Here is a 16,687-nt window from a genome sequence, read left to right on the forward strand (position 1 = left end):
CATCCTTTCTTGTGCCAGTTTTTAGAGGGAATGCTTCCAGTTTTTGCCCATTCAGTATGATATTGGCTGTGGGTTTGTCATAGATAGCTCTTATTATTTTGAGATACGTCCCATCAATACCTAATTTATTGAGAGTTTTTAGCATGAAGCGTTGTTGAATTTTGTCAAAGGCCTTTTCTGCATCTATTGAGATAATCATGTGGTTTTTGTCTTTGGTTCTGTTTATATGCTGGATTACATTTACTGATTTGCATATATTGAACCAGCCTTGCATCCCAGGGATGAAGCCCACTTGATCATGGTGGATAAGCTTTTTGATGTGCTGCTGGATTCCATTTGCCAGTATTTTATTGAGGATTTTTGCATCAATGTTCATCAAGGATATTGGTCTAAAATTCTCTTTTTTGGTTGTGTCTCTGCCAGGCTTTGGTATCACAAGATGATGCTGGCCTCATAAAATGAGTTAGGGAGGATTCCCTCTTTTTCTATTGATTGGAATGGTTTCAGAAGGAATGGTACCAGCTCCTCCTTGTACCTCTAGTAGAATTCGGCTGTGAATCCGTCTGGTCCTGGACTCTTTTTGTTGGTAAGCTATTGATTATTGCCACAATTTCAGAGCCTGTTATTGGTCTATTCAGAGATTCAACTTCTTCCTGGTTTAGTCTTGGGAGGGTGTATGTGTTGAGGAATTTACCCATTTCTTCTAGATTTTCTAGTTTATTTGCGTAGAGGTGTTTGTAGTATTCTCTGATGGTAGTTTGTATTTCTGTGGGATCGGTGGTGATATCCCCTTTATCATTTTTTATTGTGTCTGTTTGATTCTTCTCTCTGCCATTTCCTTTTATAACATAACATGGGTTGGGGCAGAATTTAGGGCAACCGATGAAGAGAGTTTTGTACAGGATGTTGCCAATCTGTAAAATCTCTGACAATGTCCTTCTCCAAGTGAGGCTGAAAATGTGGTTCTGAGGCATCATGAAATCATTCTAACATACGTAAATTGGTCTCCTCTTTTTCTACACTGCCCCAGGCCTCAAGGGCTTACGATGATAGGTGGCCAGATTTGTCTAATTTTCTGTTTCTGCACTTTGGATTTAGTATAGCTTTCTATTGCTCGCTCTGAAACTTGAGGCAAATGATTTAATTTTTGTACTCTTTATGTAAGACACAGATAATGCTGCCCCTTCATTACAGTACAATCAGTAGAATAAAATTAGTTAGCATACAGGCATTCTTTGAATGTTACAAGGTTACACAATAAAAGAGAATTATTTAATCTCTCAGACATGTAAAATGGTCTGGAGTGTTTCAACCAGGCAGTCCTTGAATGCATCTGGGGTTTCTTTGTTATAACAGGGATTCTTACTGAATCCTTGATACAATTCTTATTGATACACTTTGATCATTCTAATAAAAAGACAGTACCAACATGCTTCTACTTTACAAATTTATATACTGGGAAAAAAGCATATGCAAGTCTTTTGGCTGTCATTTTATAAATAGAATAGCAGTAAAATCTCACAACAGAGATCCAGCTACCATTAGCACAGTGTCTGTGATTTCATATACTCTAATGAGCTGGGGAGAGAGAATACCTACTGTGACGTACAAAACTTAGGAATTAGGAGAAAAGGATTTTGATGGAAAGGGATGAGGAACTATGTCCTTCTTGAGATTAATCCTAAACCCCTGATATGGTTTGTCATGAAAACCATTTAAAGTCTTTACTCAAAACTGCTAAAAAATAACATTTTATTCTGGTGGAATTCTTTGGTCCTGCATTAATCAGTATCTGTGGAAAAAGCAAACCCTCCTCTCAATCTAATGCTGCAGCAGATCACATAGGCTGATTCTGGGGCCCTTTCAGAAGTTCCAGGAAAAGAGGAGGGGTGAGCTTAGCTGGAAATAGCAAAGAGGCCCCTGTGTGACTCTAAGGGCATCATTAAAAAGGAATGTTCAATCTCTGCAATCCCTGATTTTAAAACTACCACCACTGTGTGAATTGAAAGGCAGAGAGACATAACACTGAGGAGGCAAAAGACAGAAGACAGTATCTGAAAAAGGATTTTAAAAAGAAAATGTCTTTGTATAGAATTTTCCCCTTCATTGATCTCTGGCTCTGTTTTTTCCAAGGTTACATCTTACCTATCTCCTTACCTGGACGTAAAATACTTGGTGTTGCTATCACCAGGAGGCTTATGGGCTTTATGAGTTTTGGTGTGTGTTGTAATCTTCTTCTAGTCTCTGTGGAAGCAGGGAAGCAAACAAGGGCAGGCAATTGGAGAAGTTGGGGTTTTTCTTTTGCTTTGTTTTTGTTTTTGCCTCCTTTGCCCAGACTCTAAACAGAGTTGTGTGAGAAAAGAATTCTGGAGAAGAAAGGGCTGGCTGGTTGTCCTCTCCTGGCCTGGGTCATTTAATCTCATCAACCAAAGTCGCAACTGATTTTCTCACATCCCTGAGTTCAGAAACCATTCTACTTTCCCATGAAACCCATAACTGTAAACACTGTTGATTTAAAGTAGTTTCTATTTGAGACATCTCTTTTTCCAGTATCCCATTCTACTCTCTTCAACTATTCCCACAAATGTTACAGGGCAGGAAACATGGATGAGCACAGCAATGACTGGTCAGCTCCAGACCTTGGTCACTTCTAATTTAAGGCTCATGGAGCACAGATCATGACAAAGAACTCAGAGGACTCTTGGTGATGTGATATCCCCATGTGATGCTGGGTTGTGAGCCTGACCTTATGACCATGTTGAGGTGGAAAGAGTTCTCAAGTTCATGTCATCAATGTAGGGTTCAAGGCTTGGCTCAGTCTTTAACCTCCCCAATGTCTGGTTATCTATAAAAGGGTGTAAACTCACCTCTGTAAGAGAGCCTTGGAGGGATTCAATGAGAATAGAAATGAAGGCTCCTTGTAAAGAAGTCATATGCTATATGAAAATGAGGATCTGTATGGGCCTACAACCCATGGGATTTTAAGGATGGCCTTTGTGAGTTTGGTGGAGTTTCTTAATGGTCCAGAAGAACAGAGTGCTGGAGCCAAATGGATGTGTCACTGGGGCTAGGCCTTTGGATCTAGGCAAAGTATTTCCAAATAATTTGGCATCAAAGCCTGACTCACTTGGGGGAGCTGAGGCAGTACGATGCCATTTTCTCCAAACTGTAAAATCAAAAAATGAAGAATATGATCCTATGTTCTATTTCTACCTCCCATCTCCCTACCCTTAATCTCTCAATTTATTTTGCTTAAACACATGGTGTCTCCGGATTCAGGACTGGCAGGAACAGGAGCAATGGCTCAGAAGAGTATGGTTGCAAATCTCAACTAGGGTGAGGAAGATACAAACTGGGAAATATTTGATTATAAATTCTTTCCTCTTCTTCCATTTTCATCCAGAAAGAAATAGTGATAAAAAATATTAAAAAGGTAACTTAAAAAATGCTTGATAGGAAGTCCTTCGTGATTACAGCAGACTTGTGATTGTGAATAGGAATAAACTATTGCATATCTCTGAAAAATAATCTGATGTTGCTGGAGAATAAAGAAAATGTAACTATATAATTCTTAACTAGGACAAAGAAGTAAACACACAAACCAACAAATATCTGTGTTATAAACCTAGCAGTTTAAAAAATATCCTTTACTTTCTCTAAAAGATGAGAAGTATCAGAAGAAGAGGTTTTATAAGTCAATAGCAATGATAAATTGTTCAACCCATCTTCCTTGCTAAGGGTAGGCTCTCTCCACACCTGATGTGGTGTGTTCACTGGTATCTCCAGCAACCAGCCCAGCTCTTGCTTCCTGATAGGCCTTCAGCAAATGTCTGTTGAATCAAAGTTTCTTTAAACCTAGAAGGTTCTAAACTACTTTTTGTAGGTAGAATACAGATACTCAGGATAGCTAAATGCTTTTCCAATACCTTGTCTTCTCTTTCTCCTGTCTTTCTGTCCTCCCTCCACGCAAGCTCTAATGACTCCACTGGTTCTGCAGGACCTGCCAAGTAGACTCCTTACTCTACTTTCTCCTCATGCCAGTGCACTCTCCCTGCAGCCACCAGGAGAGGCTTTGTGAGATGCACCTTTGATCATGTATTCACTAAATAAATATTTCCTGAGTTCCCGCCTCCTGCCAGCCATGACTCTAGGTTCTGAAGATCCTGTTACCAACCTCCTCTCCTGCCTTCCTCACCCATCCCACATGCTGGTTTTTCAGCCACACTGGCGTCCTTTTCGTTTCCTTGGAGTGGTGTGCTGACTCAGACCTTTCTTGTCTTTTTTGTTCCTCCTACAGCGAATACTCTTCCCTACCTTACTGGTCTGAAGAATTCCTATTCATCTTATAACACCCACCTAACAGAATTTTTTTAAAGGCTTCTTGATCTTTCTTCCTATCTAACTCCATCTGAGGTTTGCCACTGCTTTGTGTATCATAAGTGCTGCAACATGTATTGTGCTGATTGTAATGCTTTCTTTTTATGACTGTCTCCCTGGCTGCAGCACAAACTTTCTTAGGTCAGGGGTTAGTTCTTGTGCACCTTGGTGTGCCCAGAACCTTCAATGGTACATAATAAGGTATGTCATATACATTTGTTAAACGAATAGCTGCACAGATGTAATTTACAAAATCAGCTTCCCTGTGGATCCTCCCCCGTACCCACCTCTAAACATCATTTCTCAGGGCCTCATTCTCTTTTTATGCCACAACTCTCTCCCTAGGGAGTTTCAATCTAATCTCATTACTTCAACACTCTTTATGTTGATAACACCCCATCATTTATCTCCACATCAAACCTCTCTTCCTAGTTCCTGCTCACATATTCAACTGTACGTCTAACTGCTCATCTCTTCCTGATGTCTCCCAGACATCTCAAACAGAATGGCCAACAATGAAGTTAATCTTCCCCTCAAACCCACTTTTCCATTTTGTTACTAAAAATCCAGACCCCTAAGCCAGAAAGTGAGGTCCTGTCTTTGAAAGTTCCTTCTTTTTCAACCCAACATCTCATCCATCACCAAATCTAGGACATTCTGCTTGTCACACAGAACTTGAGTCTTTCTTCCTCCTCTCCCCTCTGCTGCTCCTCTCTCATTCTCTTTTGTCTGGACTACACAGCAGCTTCCTACCTGGTCTCTCTGATATCATCTTGCCCCTTTCAATCTACTCTCCACAAAGCAGGAAAATTGTATTTTTAAAAATTACAAATGGCACCCTATCTCTTTTGATTAAATTTCTTCAGTATGTTTCCATTCATGAAATATAAAACTCTTTTCAAATTCTTAGCATGGGCTGCAAGCCCTATGCTGGCTGGCCCTGCCTTCCTCTCCATGCGTTTCTTGTTCCCCTCCCACTGCTCTCTTTATGCTCCAGATAGGCAGGCCTCTTTTCGCTCTATAAAGGGCCTGGAGTCTCCCTTCCAAATGGAAGCAGATACATAATAGAGTTCAAATTCAGATTACACCAGTCATCAGTGGATGCTGAGATTCACTTGATTAAACCATGGCTTCCAGTCATCATGCATACTACAGAAATTGCTAATTAAGAGACAAGGCAATGCTATATATGCGTAACTCAGCACTACACGTAAAGTGGGAAAGGAATTTACCAACCTATTTATTTGAGTTAAAATTAGCTAGAGTAATTTTGGATATAATTTATCTTGGAAAAAAATGAGACTAATTATAACATTGGCTGCTTTAAGATAGATAAGTCTTTCTCCTCTGATGCACACCAATAAAATATTATTGCTTTCTTCCAATCTCTTTCAGAGTCTCCTGGCGCTTGGATTATTATTGAAAATATATTATATGTTGGAGAAAGGCAAATCTATGCTTTAATAACCACAAAACTAATCACATTTGCAAAACTGCCCTGAGGTCCTACTCTACATTTCAACAAGGTAGTCAATCAGCTGAATGCTTGAAGCAAAACTTTACATTCCCCAAAGTGTCCTATTCACAAATTCCACCAATGCAATATATTTTCACATTTATCATAAGTAATAAATAAATCACATGTTGTTATCAAGATGCAAAGCACATTTTATAAAACGTTGCCTATTCCCTTCATTGCATTTCTTTTATTGCTTAGAGATTTTACCCAGTGATAAGGCAAAATGATTTTCAAAAAATGAATTGGATAAGATAGCAACCTTTAAAATATTATTTCCCTCTACCGTGGAAAAGTTTCATTGCTGTAGTCAGTGTTTTAATAATCTAGGTAGAAAGCAGTTACAGAGGCATGTAATTTCAAATCTAGTTCAGAATCAGCAAAAGCAAATCCCAAGTGGTCTGATTTTATTATGTAAGGGAGGCAGTGTAGCATAATGGAAAGGCTTTAGATTTTGGATTCAGAAAACCTAAGTCTGATTCACTATGGCAGCATAAATTTGGGCAGATTTTTTGTGCCCCAGGTTTCTCTGGAGATTATTATATCTACTAGTAGGGTGGTGAGAATTAAATGACCTTATCCACCAATGTAGTATTTGGCACATGGTAAAAGTTAATTATTGCAGGTTTTTTTTTTTTTTTTTTTTTTTTTGAGACAGAGTCTCACTCTGTCACCCAAGCTGGAGCAGAGTGTCTCAATCTTGGCTCACTGCAGCCTTGACCTCCCAGGCTCAAGTGATCTTCCCACCTCAGGCTCCTGAATAGCTGAGACTGCAGGCACACGGCATCATGCCCGGCTCATTTTTTTTTTTTTTTTTTTTTTTGTAGAGATGAGGTTTCACCGTGTTGCCCAGGCTGGTCTTGAACTCCTGGGCTCAAGTGATGTGCCTGCCTTAGGCTCCCACAAGGCTAGGAAGGATTACAGGAACGAACCTCTATGCCCGGCCTGTATTACAGTTTTAACGAATTGTAAGGGTGCTTTCCACCTTCCCCTAATCCTGTTTGCTAAGGAAAATGCCAAGCAGCCTTTGGTATTCATATCACTGAGTAATTACAGTTGATGTGGTGATTGATTCCATCGGTTTTCCAAAGGATGTGAATTTTCTGGAAAGGACAGGTTTATTTTGTTATAGTTCACTTGAAAGTTTAGTGACTTTGGCCTTAGGACTATTGCCAGTAATCTGGATTAACATCCCTTGGTTGTCACAGAATTCTGGGATTACTGTTGACCTATATGGCTTCCATTTACAATGTCATTCTAAAGGGACAGAGCTTTTTGTGTAACTATATGATTTATGGCCTTTCTGGAAAGCAAAGTACTAGTTCATCCCTTTAGTCATTTATTCAAGTATTTACTGAATGTTCTAAGGAAATGCTCACACACAATAAGTAAAATATACAGAGTGAAAGATGATGAAGAACAAAGCAGGGGAGGAGAACACAGAGTGCCAGGTGAAGGTCTTCTAATTTTAGATATGGCGGTCAAGGAAGGTGTAATTGAGAAGGTATCAGAGGAAAGCCACATGGACCTCTGGGGGAGGAATGTTTCAGGCAGGGAGAAGAGCAAATGCAGAGGCCAAGACGTGGGAACGCAGCTGGTGATTGAGGAAGTGGCCATTGTGGCTGGAGTAGAGTAGGGTGGTAGAGTGGTACAGAGGCGGGAGGGAGGCAGGCCTGGAAGCCTGTTGCAAGGACTGTGGCTTTAATCCAAGGGACCGAGGAAGCCGCTGTGTGATCTGAGTGGAACAAAGGAACTTCAGGAAGGCTAGCCTTCTCAGGCAGCAGGAAGCATCTTGCTCCTGTAGTTTCTGCAGCCTGCCTTCAGGGCTGGCCCCACAGCAGGTTCCCTCAAAGCTCAAGTATCCAATGAGTCCTTTGGATCCCATGCAAACTGTGGGTCACTGTAAAGCCATCTCAACTCAGAGACTGCTTTATTACAGTGCAAGAGAATTGGGGGTAAAAGCTAGAAGAGTCAAGTCAGTTCCACAGCATATGTTCTAGAACTTTTTGAGAAATGAGAAATCTTAAACAGAGCAAGCAGGGATAGAGAGAATAAACAATAACTCCTCATTCCCCTTCTTCCCAGGCCCTGGCAACCACTATTCTACTGTCTGTCTCTATGAACTTGACTACTCTGGGTACCTCATGTAAGTGGAATCATATAATCTTTGTCTTTCTGCGTCTAGTTTACTTCACGTAGCATAATGTCTTTAAGGTTCATCCATGTTGTAGCATGTGTAAGAATTTCCTTCCTTTTTAAGGCTGAGTCATATTCCATTGCATGGATACACCTAAGCTCTTTGAAAATCTACTCCTTCAGCCCAGCAACACCATCTTGAATGTTCCTTCATCCATTCACCACCACCCCCTCCTAAGACCATGATTTTGGTGCAGGTTCTGGGGGAGGCAGGTAGTTGAAAACAGGGGAAAGAAGGAAGGCATTCAGGATGGATGGCATTGGATATAAGGTTAGAGTTAGAGAGAGTAGCATGTAAGAGTGTTATCTCCTGATGGCTTCTATTTCTTCTTGGAGGGAGAAGTTAATTTACAAAGAATGCATCAGGTGACAAGAAACCTACAGTCTCCCAGGACAGTCCATCCCAATTCTGTCTCCATCTTGAGTACCAGCCCTGTTCTTCCAGTTTTGTGGAACAAGGTCATAAAGAGTGATGTTATTCTAGAAAATGAGAAATGAGACTACATATATACACACACGTATATGTATATATAGAATACATACACACGTATATGTATATATAGAATACATACACACGTATATGTATATATAGAATACATACACATGTATATGTATATAATACATACACACGTATATGTATATATAGAATACATACACACGTATATGTATATATAGAATACATACACATGTATATGTATATATAGAATACATACACACGTATATGTATATATAGAATACATACACACATGTATATGTATATATAGAATATATACACATATATATTCTAAAGTAGGGAATACTACTCCTGCGATTAATGATTTATCGCTTATTTGGTCTTTATGATAAAGCGCTTTATTATTGTGTTGTTTTAATGTGTGTATCAAAGGGATACAATGTGCTGCAGGAGCACCTTGGAAAGTTATTTGATGTCAGGAATACAGAGGCAGATCTCTCCTCTCCCCTACTAACCCTCTGAACAAAGCGGTTTCTTAACAACCTCAATTAGAGCTGAATCACACTGAGGTGAGGGGAAGCAGGAGAAGACAGATGAGAGGAAAAAGAAGAAGTGCACCAAAGTCAAAGTCTGTTCTCTAAGAAACAGGCAAGTGAGGCTGCGGGCCACTGTTGGTGACAGAGCCCATTTCCTGACAACCCTCCAGAAGACGTCATGGCAATTCCCTACCTACTACCTGCCCTTTCTATGAAGAGTTCTCTATTCAGGACTTGAAAAATAAAAACTAAATGTATGCACTGCATTAACTAACTCAGAGAAAAACAGCTCTAAACCTCAAGGCAAATATAAAACAGAGATGAAATAACAACTGAAAACCAGTAAAGAGCTTTTAAAATTTATAATGTGTAGGTACTATGGATTCGGTTAAGCCTGGTTAGTTCTTTTAGCCTGTTAGCCAGTTATCAGAATCACCCAACTAGACTCTTTGATCTGCTTGAGGTAGCAAGCACAAACTTTTTTTTATTTTAATTTTTAAGTTCTGGGGTACATGTGCAGGATGTGCAGGTTTGTTACATAGTTAAACATGTGCCACGATGGTTTGCTGCACCTATCAACTCATCACCTAGGTATTAAGCCCAACATGCATTAGCTATTTTTCCTAATGCTCTCACTCCCCCACCCCACTCCCCAACAGGCCCCATTGTATGTTGTTCCCTTCCCTGTGTCCATGTGTTCTCATTGGTCAGCTCCCACTTATAAATGAGAACATGAGGTGTTTGGTTTTCTCTTCCCGCGTTAGTTGGCTGGGGATAATGGCTTCCAGCTCCATCAATATTCTTGCAAAGGACATGATCTCATTCCTTTTTTACGGCTGCATAGGATTCCATGGTGTATATGTACCACATTTTCTTTGTCCAGTCTATCATTGATGGGCATTTGGGTTGATTCCACATCTTTGCTATTGTGAATAGGCAAGCACAAATTTTATGGACAACATTGAAAGCCTCCAACATAATGTTTTGTGCTACTAAACAATGAATTCCTTAATTCTTGCTATCTAGGTGGAAACATAGGTTACATGATGTAAGTAATGGAAACCCCTTCCAAGATAGTGAAGCAGGAGGGGGCCTTTATTGGAAGGATACAGGGGCATCTTAGAGAATTTGAGGAAAAGTTGAGCAACTAAGTCTTGGACAGAACAGAAATGAAGGTTCTCATTTTAAAGTTTTAAAGTTCTCATCTTAAAGTTTATAGACATTCATTCATTGTGGTGGTCTCACAAATGATGGGACTCAGCTCCTAAGTTTAGACATTTTCTCTTCAAGCGACCAGCAGAAACTAAGACTGCCATTCTTAAATTCCACCTTGCGAGGTGAGAGACTTTGATTCGATGGTTCAGGGTCAGGGGTCACCCAGATCTACCCCTAACATTTGTAGGAGCTGGATCAAGAGTGTAATTGGAGACTTTCATGCCAAATGTGTAAATATTATAAAAGTTACAAATAAAGGCAATAAGATGGTAAAATGTTCTATTCTTTTGACAGGCATACTTTCCTAACAGCCTGGAAGTCCAGGTTCAAATTTAGAATTTTTGGATTCCATGGGGTACTGTGCCCAAATGTAGCAATACAGAGAGAGGGCTGGCCTCTAGCCCACTGTGCACCTGCTGCCTTCTCCCACACCTGGCTCATGAATAACCCACTTTGTATATCCAAGCTCCAGAAACAGCCCCTCAAATCTCCTGCCCCCTGCCTTTTTTTTCTTTTTCTTTTAACCATTTGGGCCTAAGACTGCAAGGCTCATGTGGGCTCTAGAAGTGAGTTTGAGGTTGTTTGGGTGTGGATTTCAGGGCCTCAAATTTCCCAGTCAATGGAAAAGGTACACTTTGAGTAGGATGGGGTTCAAGTGGAGAAGGGCAGAGCATGACACAAAGGGCATAGGTCTGTCTCACCCAGGAATTAAGCTGTGATACTAGGAAAAACTATTACTCTGGTTGTACTTGGGCAATCGTGTATCATGTTATTACAAGGCAAGTTTAATGTATTAAGCAATAGAAAAGGAAGCTTATACTCAGAGAGTTTACTTATACACTAAACCAAAAGAGATCAAAATTACCTAGGTACTACCTAGGAAAGGGCGAGGCAGAAAGCAATGGTTACAGTAACCCAGAAAATCCCAAGCAACTTTTCTTCTTACTTCTGAAGTTAAAACTGCTTACGCTTCTGGAAAAAAAAATCGGCAAAGTTTTCACTTTTAAAGGCCAGGTAGACTATCAATGCCTGTTTTGTAGCTTTGCTCTACAAGATTTCTATTTCTTCACGGGAAAAACAAAACAAAACAAAACACCAACAACATCCAAAAAACATTCAGGTTAAAAGTCTGCTAAACTTTTGTTCCATTACGTTTGTCTTCTGAGTTCCTTAGTAGGTACATCTATATGCAATAATGATCTTTAGGACCTTGCGTGACCGAGTTTCTTCATGAAGTGGTAATTTCCCATTTGCTGACCTCAATTTTCAGTGCTGAAATTGAGTAGTATGACTCCAACAGAATGGGAAAATGGCACAGTAGCACATCTCTCAGGAAACTGTCAGTGTAAGTAACTCCAAGTACAAGAACTGAAAACAAAAGATGAAACACTCTGTTGGGGCATAACTATTCTGAAAATTCTTTAAAAATAAGTAGAAAACCTCTTCAAGTTGATCATGGCTAAAGAATACAGTCCAACTTTATGTCAATTTTTCTCATCTTCTTGCTTCTTTCTAGACTCCCACATGTATGGCATTTTTCTTTTTATGGCTTTGCTTTAATTGTACCATTTCCTTTGTCCTAGACCTTCCCATGGGACAGCAATGATTTGTTTGCTATGGCAATGATTCTCAAACATGCAGGCAATAAAGTTTGAGCATGAGCTTTGGAATCCAAAAGCTCGGGGTATAATAAGTTCTAGTTCTTCCACTGACAAGCTACTTAACCTCTCTAGTCGGTAGTTTCCTCATCTGTAAAATGGGCCTATCACACTGGGTTGTGGTGCAGATTAGATGAATTAAGGGTAAAGGTTTAGTGCAGTTCCTGACAAATGTTAAACCTTCAATAGGTAGTTAACAAAATATACATGTCCTCTTAGAGTCCACGCCTCTCTTCCATCTCTATAGGCTCATCTCTTGCTATTCCAGTTTTATCATTTGCATTTCAGAACTATGGAACTACTTAAGAGTTTTATGAACATGATCCACTGTTCCTTCTGGTAGGATGGCAGACTTCACTCACCTGTAAAGAACTGAGCAGAGACATGACCTCTTCAAGAGTTCTCCTCCTTGCTGAGACACAGGTGATGACCCCTTTCCCTTCTTCCTTGGTGCTACTTCCACACCTATTTTACTATTCTTCCCCGCTGTGGGAACTTATGTAAAGGATGCAAAATTGATGGTAACCTGAGGCCTTGCCTGGTAAATAGAATCACAGAAGTGGGCAGAAGACTTGCAGCAAGCTCTCCAGTGTACAGTGCTACCCATTCCTTTTGGGAAAACAGGTGCAAGGAGATCTCAGGATCAAGGATTCACTGAGAGAGGGGTGGGGAGGGGGGCACTCTCACCAGCGGAGGGCCCTGGTAGCAGCCAGTAAAGCTGGGCAGGAGGGAGACATGGTCTGGGAACTTACAGCCCTGGAACCCAAACAGAAAGTTCCCCTTGGCTCCTCTTTGCTAATGGGAACAGGAAGGAGGAAGCATGTGGAATAGCAGCCCAGTGACAGGGAGGTCTTGGAAGGATTCTCAGGAAAGCTCCAGGCAAGGTGCCTGGCGATCAGGGTCTCCGTGCAGCACTGATGGGAACAGGGGCTGCTTGGGGGTGTGACTGTGATATAGGCTCATGACACGATGTCCCTCACTGAAGAATGCAGCTCTCTTCTCTGGGGCATTGGGGGAAAGGGAAGGGCCAAAACCGGGTGACAGGATGGGGGAATCTATGGGTTGACAAGAATGGTTGACACTCTCGATCATTCTTGAGTGCCCCCTAAGCATTTCACCGGGTGGGCCTTAGGCCTGAGAAATATTAGTTATTGCTATGTCCAGAATCGCAAGCCTGGGGAAAAACCTGCTATGCACAAGGTTTACATATCTGCATTCCTTTTCCTTTAGGACTCCTTAAATCATATAGGCATGTGGTTATTACTGTCTGCAGTGTTGGGTAGAACCTGGCCCACAGATGTTCAATAAATGTTTCTTTAATTACCTGGAACCAAAAAACCTATCATCTGGCATCTACACAGACTCAGGTATTTTAAAACATTGAAACTTGCTGGTGGACTCCCATTGCTGCTTTGATGACCTTTGAGAAAGAAATCATTGGTTCAGCATGTCAAGAAAAGGTTGATGGAGCCCGATGTCATTTCGGATTGGGGTGAAGGCTTTATGTTTAACGATGCCACAGGCCGCTTGCTGACTGGGTCTTTGCCTCTTAGATCTGAAAAGGACCTCAGAGATCACCAGTTTAGCCCTTTAGCCCCCAGGTTTCCCCAAGAGCAGGCTGAGCAGGCCAGTGCCACAGAACTAATATCAGAGCCAAAACCAGGGCCTGGATGTCCTAACTCTCAGCCTACAGGAAAGACCCCCATGCCAACATCATCCAAATCTTTTTTCAACTTCCCCGCTAAAAGTTAGAGAAAAAAAAAATTAAAGCTGTTAATTTTAAAGCTTAGAGGACTTTGGGTCCAATCTTCTCATTTCCTCTGATTTTGCAGATTTAAAGGGAGGATCGGCAAGGTTAGGTGACATCTGAGGGGGGACCTCAGAGTTAGGAGTGAAACTGAAATTCAATTTCTAACCCACTGACTTTCCACCTGATTTCTTTCAGTATGAGAATCTGAAATCAGTTTAATCTCAACTGAATACAAGATATGTCTTAGCTTTAATGGATGTGGCACAGTATAGAATAGGAGATTACTGTGTGCCCCGCCCCAGTGGCTGCCAAGACTGGGCTGCTCACCCTTAGGAAGAGCTCAAGGGGTGCAGGGCACCAGGGACAGAAAGATGAACAAGGATGCTTCTAGCCTTCCAGGCTGCTGGGCAAAAGCGAGCTTCTCAAATGCCAACATGTCTAGCCAGCAGTAGCCACGGCCACACATCTATTCTGTGTACAGGAGGCTCGTCAATATTTGACTTGGGCTGGTGCTGGTCACACACATGGGTTTTAAAAAAGAGCCATATTCACTTATTACTAAAAGTGTCCTGTTTGAACAGAAGACTTTATGTGCATATGCACAAGAAGACATCATCAATCTGGTTAAAAAGGCTTTGCTCAACATGCTTTGCCTCCAAATTATGAAATTTAAAATTATTCCTTTTATGGCTAGAAAATTGTTTTTGTTGCAATAAACTGGTAAAATATACTTTATCAAAGTAACTTTGATAGCTTCCAATGAATTAAAAATCTATATTTTCTATACCCACTTCAACAGTTCATATAGTCAGAATAAAAATATATTCGCACTCAATAAAAGCTTCTACATCACTGTTGCTCATCTGTTGTCCGTTAGTTACACACACAGGCAGTTCTCTACTGCTTTGCTAGTGTGAAATAGTTACTTCAGTTAGAATGAGTTAAGCAACTTTTCCAAGTTATGATAGTTAGAATTATTTATAAAGGCAGAGCCAGCTCTTTCTTCATAGTTTAATAGCTGCTCTCCAGTTACTTATTTCAAAATTAATATATCTCAATGATATATAGCACATACCCCACAAAAAATGTGCTCCGGTAGGAACAAAGGATACCTGTTGGTTGGTGATGGATTGATTTGTTTCAGAGTTTCATCTGGAGTTTTAATGATAAAAAAATCTGGATATTCAGCCATTAAAAAGCATTTTTAAATGCCTTCTGGGCCCCCAGCATTATACTATGTATTAGGTATGCAAAAATGAAAGCCTCTATCAAGAAGCACATAATGAAGAGAGGAAACTGACGTTCAAATTCACAACTATATTACAAATGTACATGGAGTACCATGACAGCAAAGGAGAGAAGAACACCCAAATCTTCCTGGGAGGAAGTTTCTTAAAAGAGGCAGAGTTTGAGCTAAGGCTTGAATGAGAGGTGGATGCTCGCCTGCAGGTAGCTAAAGAAAGGGGCAGCTGCAGGTGAGGGAAGTCATGGGAGAATGTTGAGTAAGGCAGGATCCATAGTCAGCTTGCATGTAGGAAGAATCACTCGCGGGTCAATGAAAGGATGGACTGGGACAGATCCTAGAAATCCAGTACCATTATCAATTAGTGTTTCTTTCATGGCAGACAAAGATCTATTGTCAAAATTACATAGGAAAGATAACTGTGAGTTACCATTTGATTTGCTCCAGTGCTAATCTCAAACTGACTACTCATGGCAACAGTCTTAAGTGAGTGCTTTTATTACCAGAGACTGTAACTAGTCCCTTACCTGTATGCTTGTTCTTACGTGTGGCAATATCATTGAGCAGTATACCAGGCAACTGATTATTATTTCAAAAGTTTCTTTCCCTGTGGACTGAAGAGAGTAAGAGGTGAGTTTTAAAAGTGGTTTGATGGTTGATTTGATCAAATTATACATGCTCACCCACAGACGGGGAGTCTTTCTATAACCCATCCCACCAGCAAGAGGTAAACAAAAGCATTTCCAGGTTGCCAAGAGCAATGCTACAGAATTTAAGCTGAAGTAACAGAATTCTTTGGGAATTTATTTATGTTTAATTCAGAAATCATTCTATTAATTAGTATTGTAATCTAGTTTCTTAGGTAACAACTTCCTCACCTTTCCCCTTCCCTTCCTGATGAAGGTCTATACTTTCCTATCACTGTGTTACAGTAACTTAGAAGGGCAGATCTTCAGAAGGGAGTAAAGAGTTCACCACAGACGTTTGATGCTTCTTATGTGTCATGTAACTAAGAGCAAAAGGAAATATGAAAAATTATCTAAAGACAAAAAAAAAAACAACCCCAAAAAACAGAGCATCTGGGAGCCACGGGACATGGAAAAATCAAGAGGACCCAGCACTTCAGTATCTGTAAATAACAACTGATGATGATTATAATCACTCTAGGTCACAAAAGGTTAAATATCAGCCTTGTGTTCAGTTAGAATGTAATTACATTTAGGGTGATTTCCTACTACAATAAGTTAAAATTAAAGTATTTATATTGTTTTCACTTTCTGGAAAACTAGTCTATATAGAATAGCACTCCTTTGAGAGGTGTAAAGAATCTCTCCAATTACCCATCTAAGATGTAGAATACATGCCTATTAGCACACGTATTTGTCCATTGTCACACTGCTATAAAGAAATACGTGAGACTGTGTAATTTATAAAGAAAAGAGGTTTAATTGGCTCATGGTTCCGCAGGCTGTACAGGAAACATAATGGCTTCTGGGGAGGCCTCAGGATACTTTCCATCATGGAGGAAGGTGAGGGGGAAGCAGGCAGGTCTTACCTGGCCAGAGCAGGAGGCGGCAGGGGGAAGGTGCCACCCACTTTTAAACAACCAGATCTCGTGAGCACTTACTATCACGAGAGCAGCACTGAGGGAAAAATCCGCCTCAGTGATCCAATCACCTCTAACTCTGGGGGGCTTACAATTTGCCATGAGATTTGGACGGGGACACAGATCCAAACCATAG

At 40.6% G+C, this 16,687-nt stretch overlaps 1 protein-coding gene across 3 annotated transcripts in view; it reads right to left on the minus strand.

Moving 5' to 3' along the window:
- Positions 1-16,687, minus strand: part of CPA6 (carboxypeptidase A6) — a 324,323-nt gene that overhangs the window by 231,766 nt on the left and 75,870 nt on the right. The window contains exon 2 of one of the 3 annotated variants that reach the window (XM_017013646.2): positions 15,473-15,559. The exons of the other annotated variants lie outside the window; for them this stretch is intronic. The gene's annotated coding sequence lies outside the window, so the exon portion shown is untranslated. The remainder of the gene's footprint in view (positions 1-15,472; positions 15,560-16,687) is intronic. 3 annotated transcript variants of the gene reach the window in all.

Source organism: Homo sapiens, chromosome 8, assembly GCF_000001405.40.
Source record: "Homo sapiens chromosome 8, GRCh38.p14 Primary Assembly".
Taxonomy (NCBI): Eukaryota; Metazoa; Chordata; class Mammalia; order Primates; family Hominidae; genus Homo; species Homo sapiens.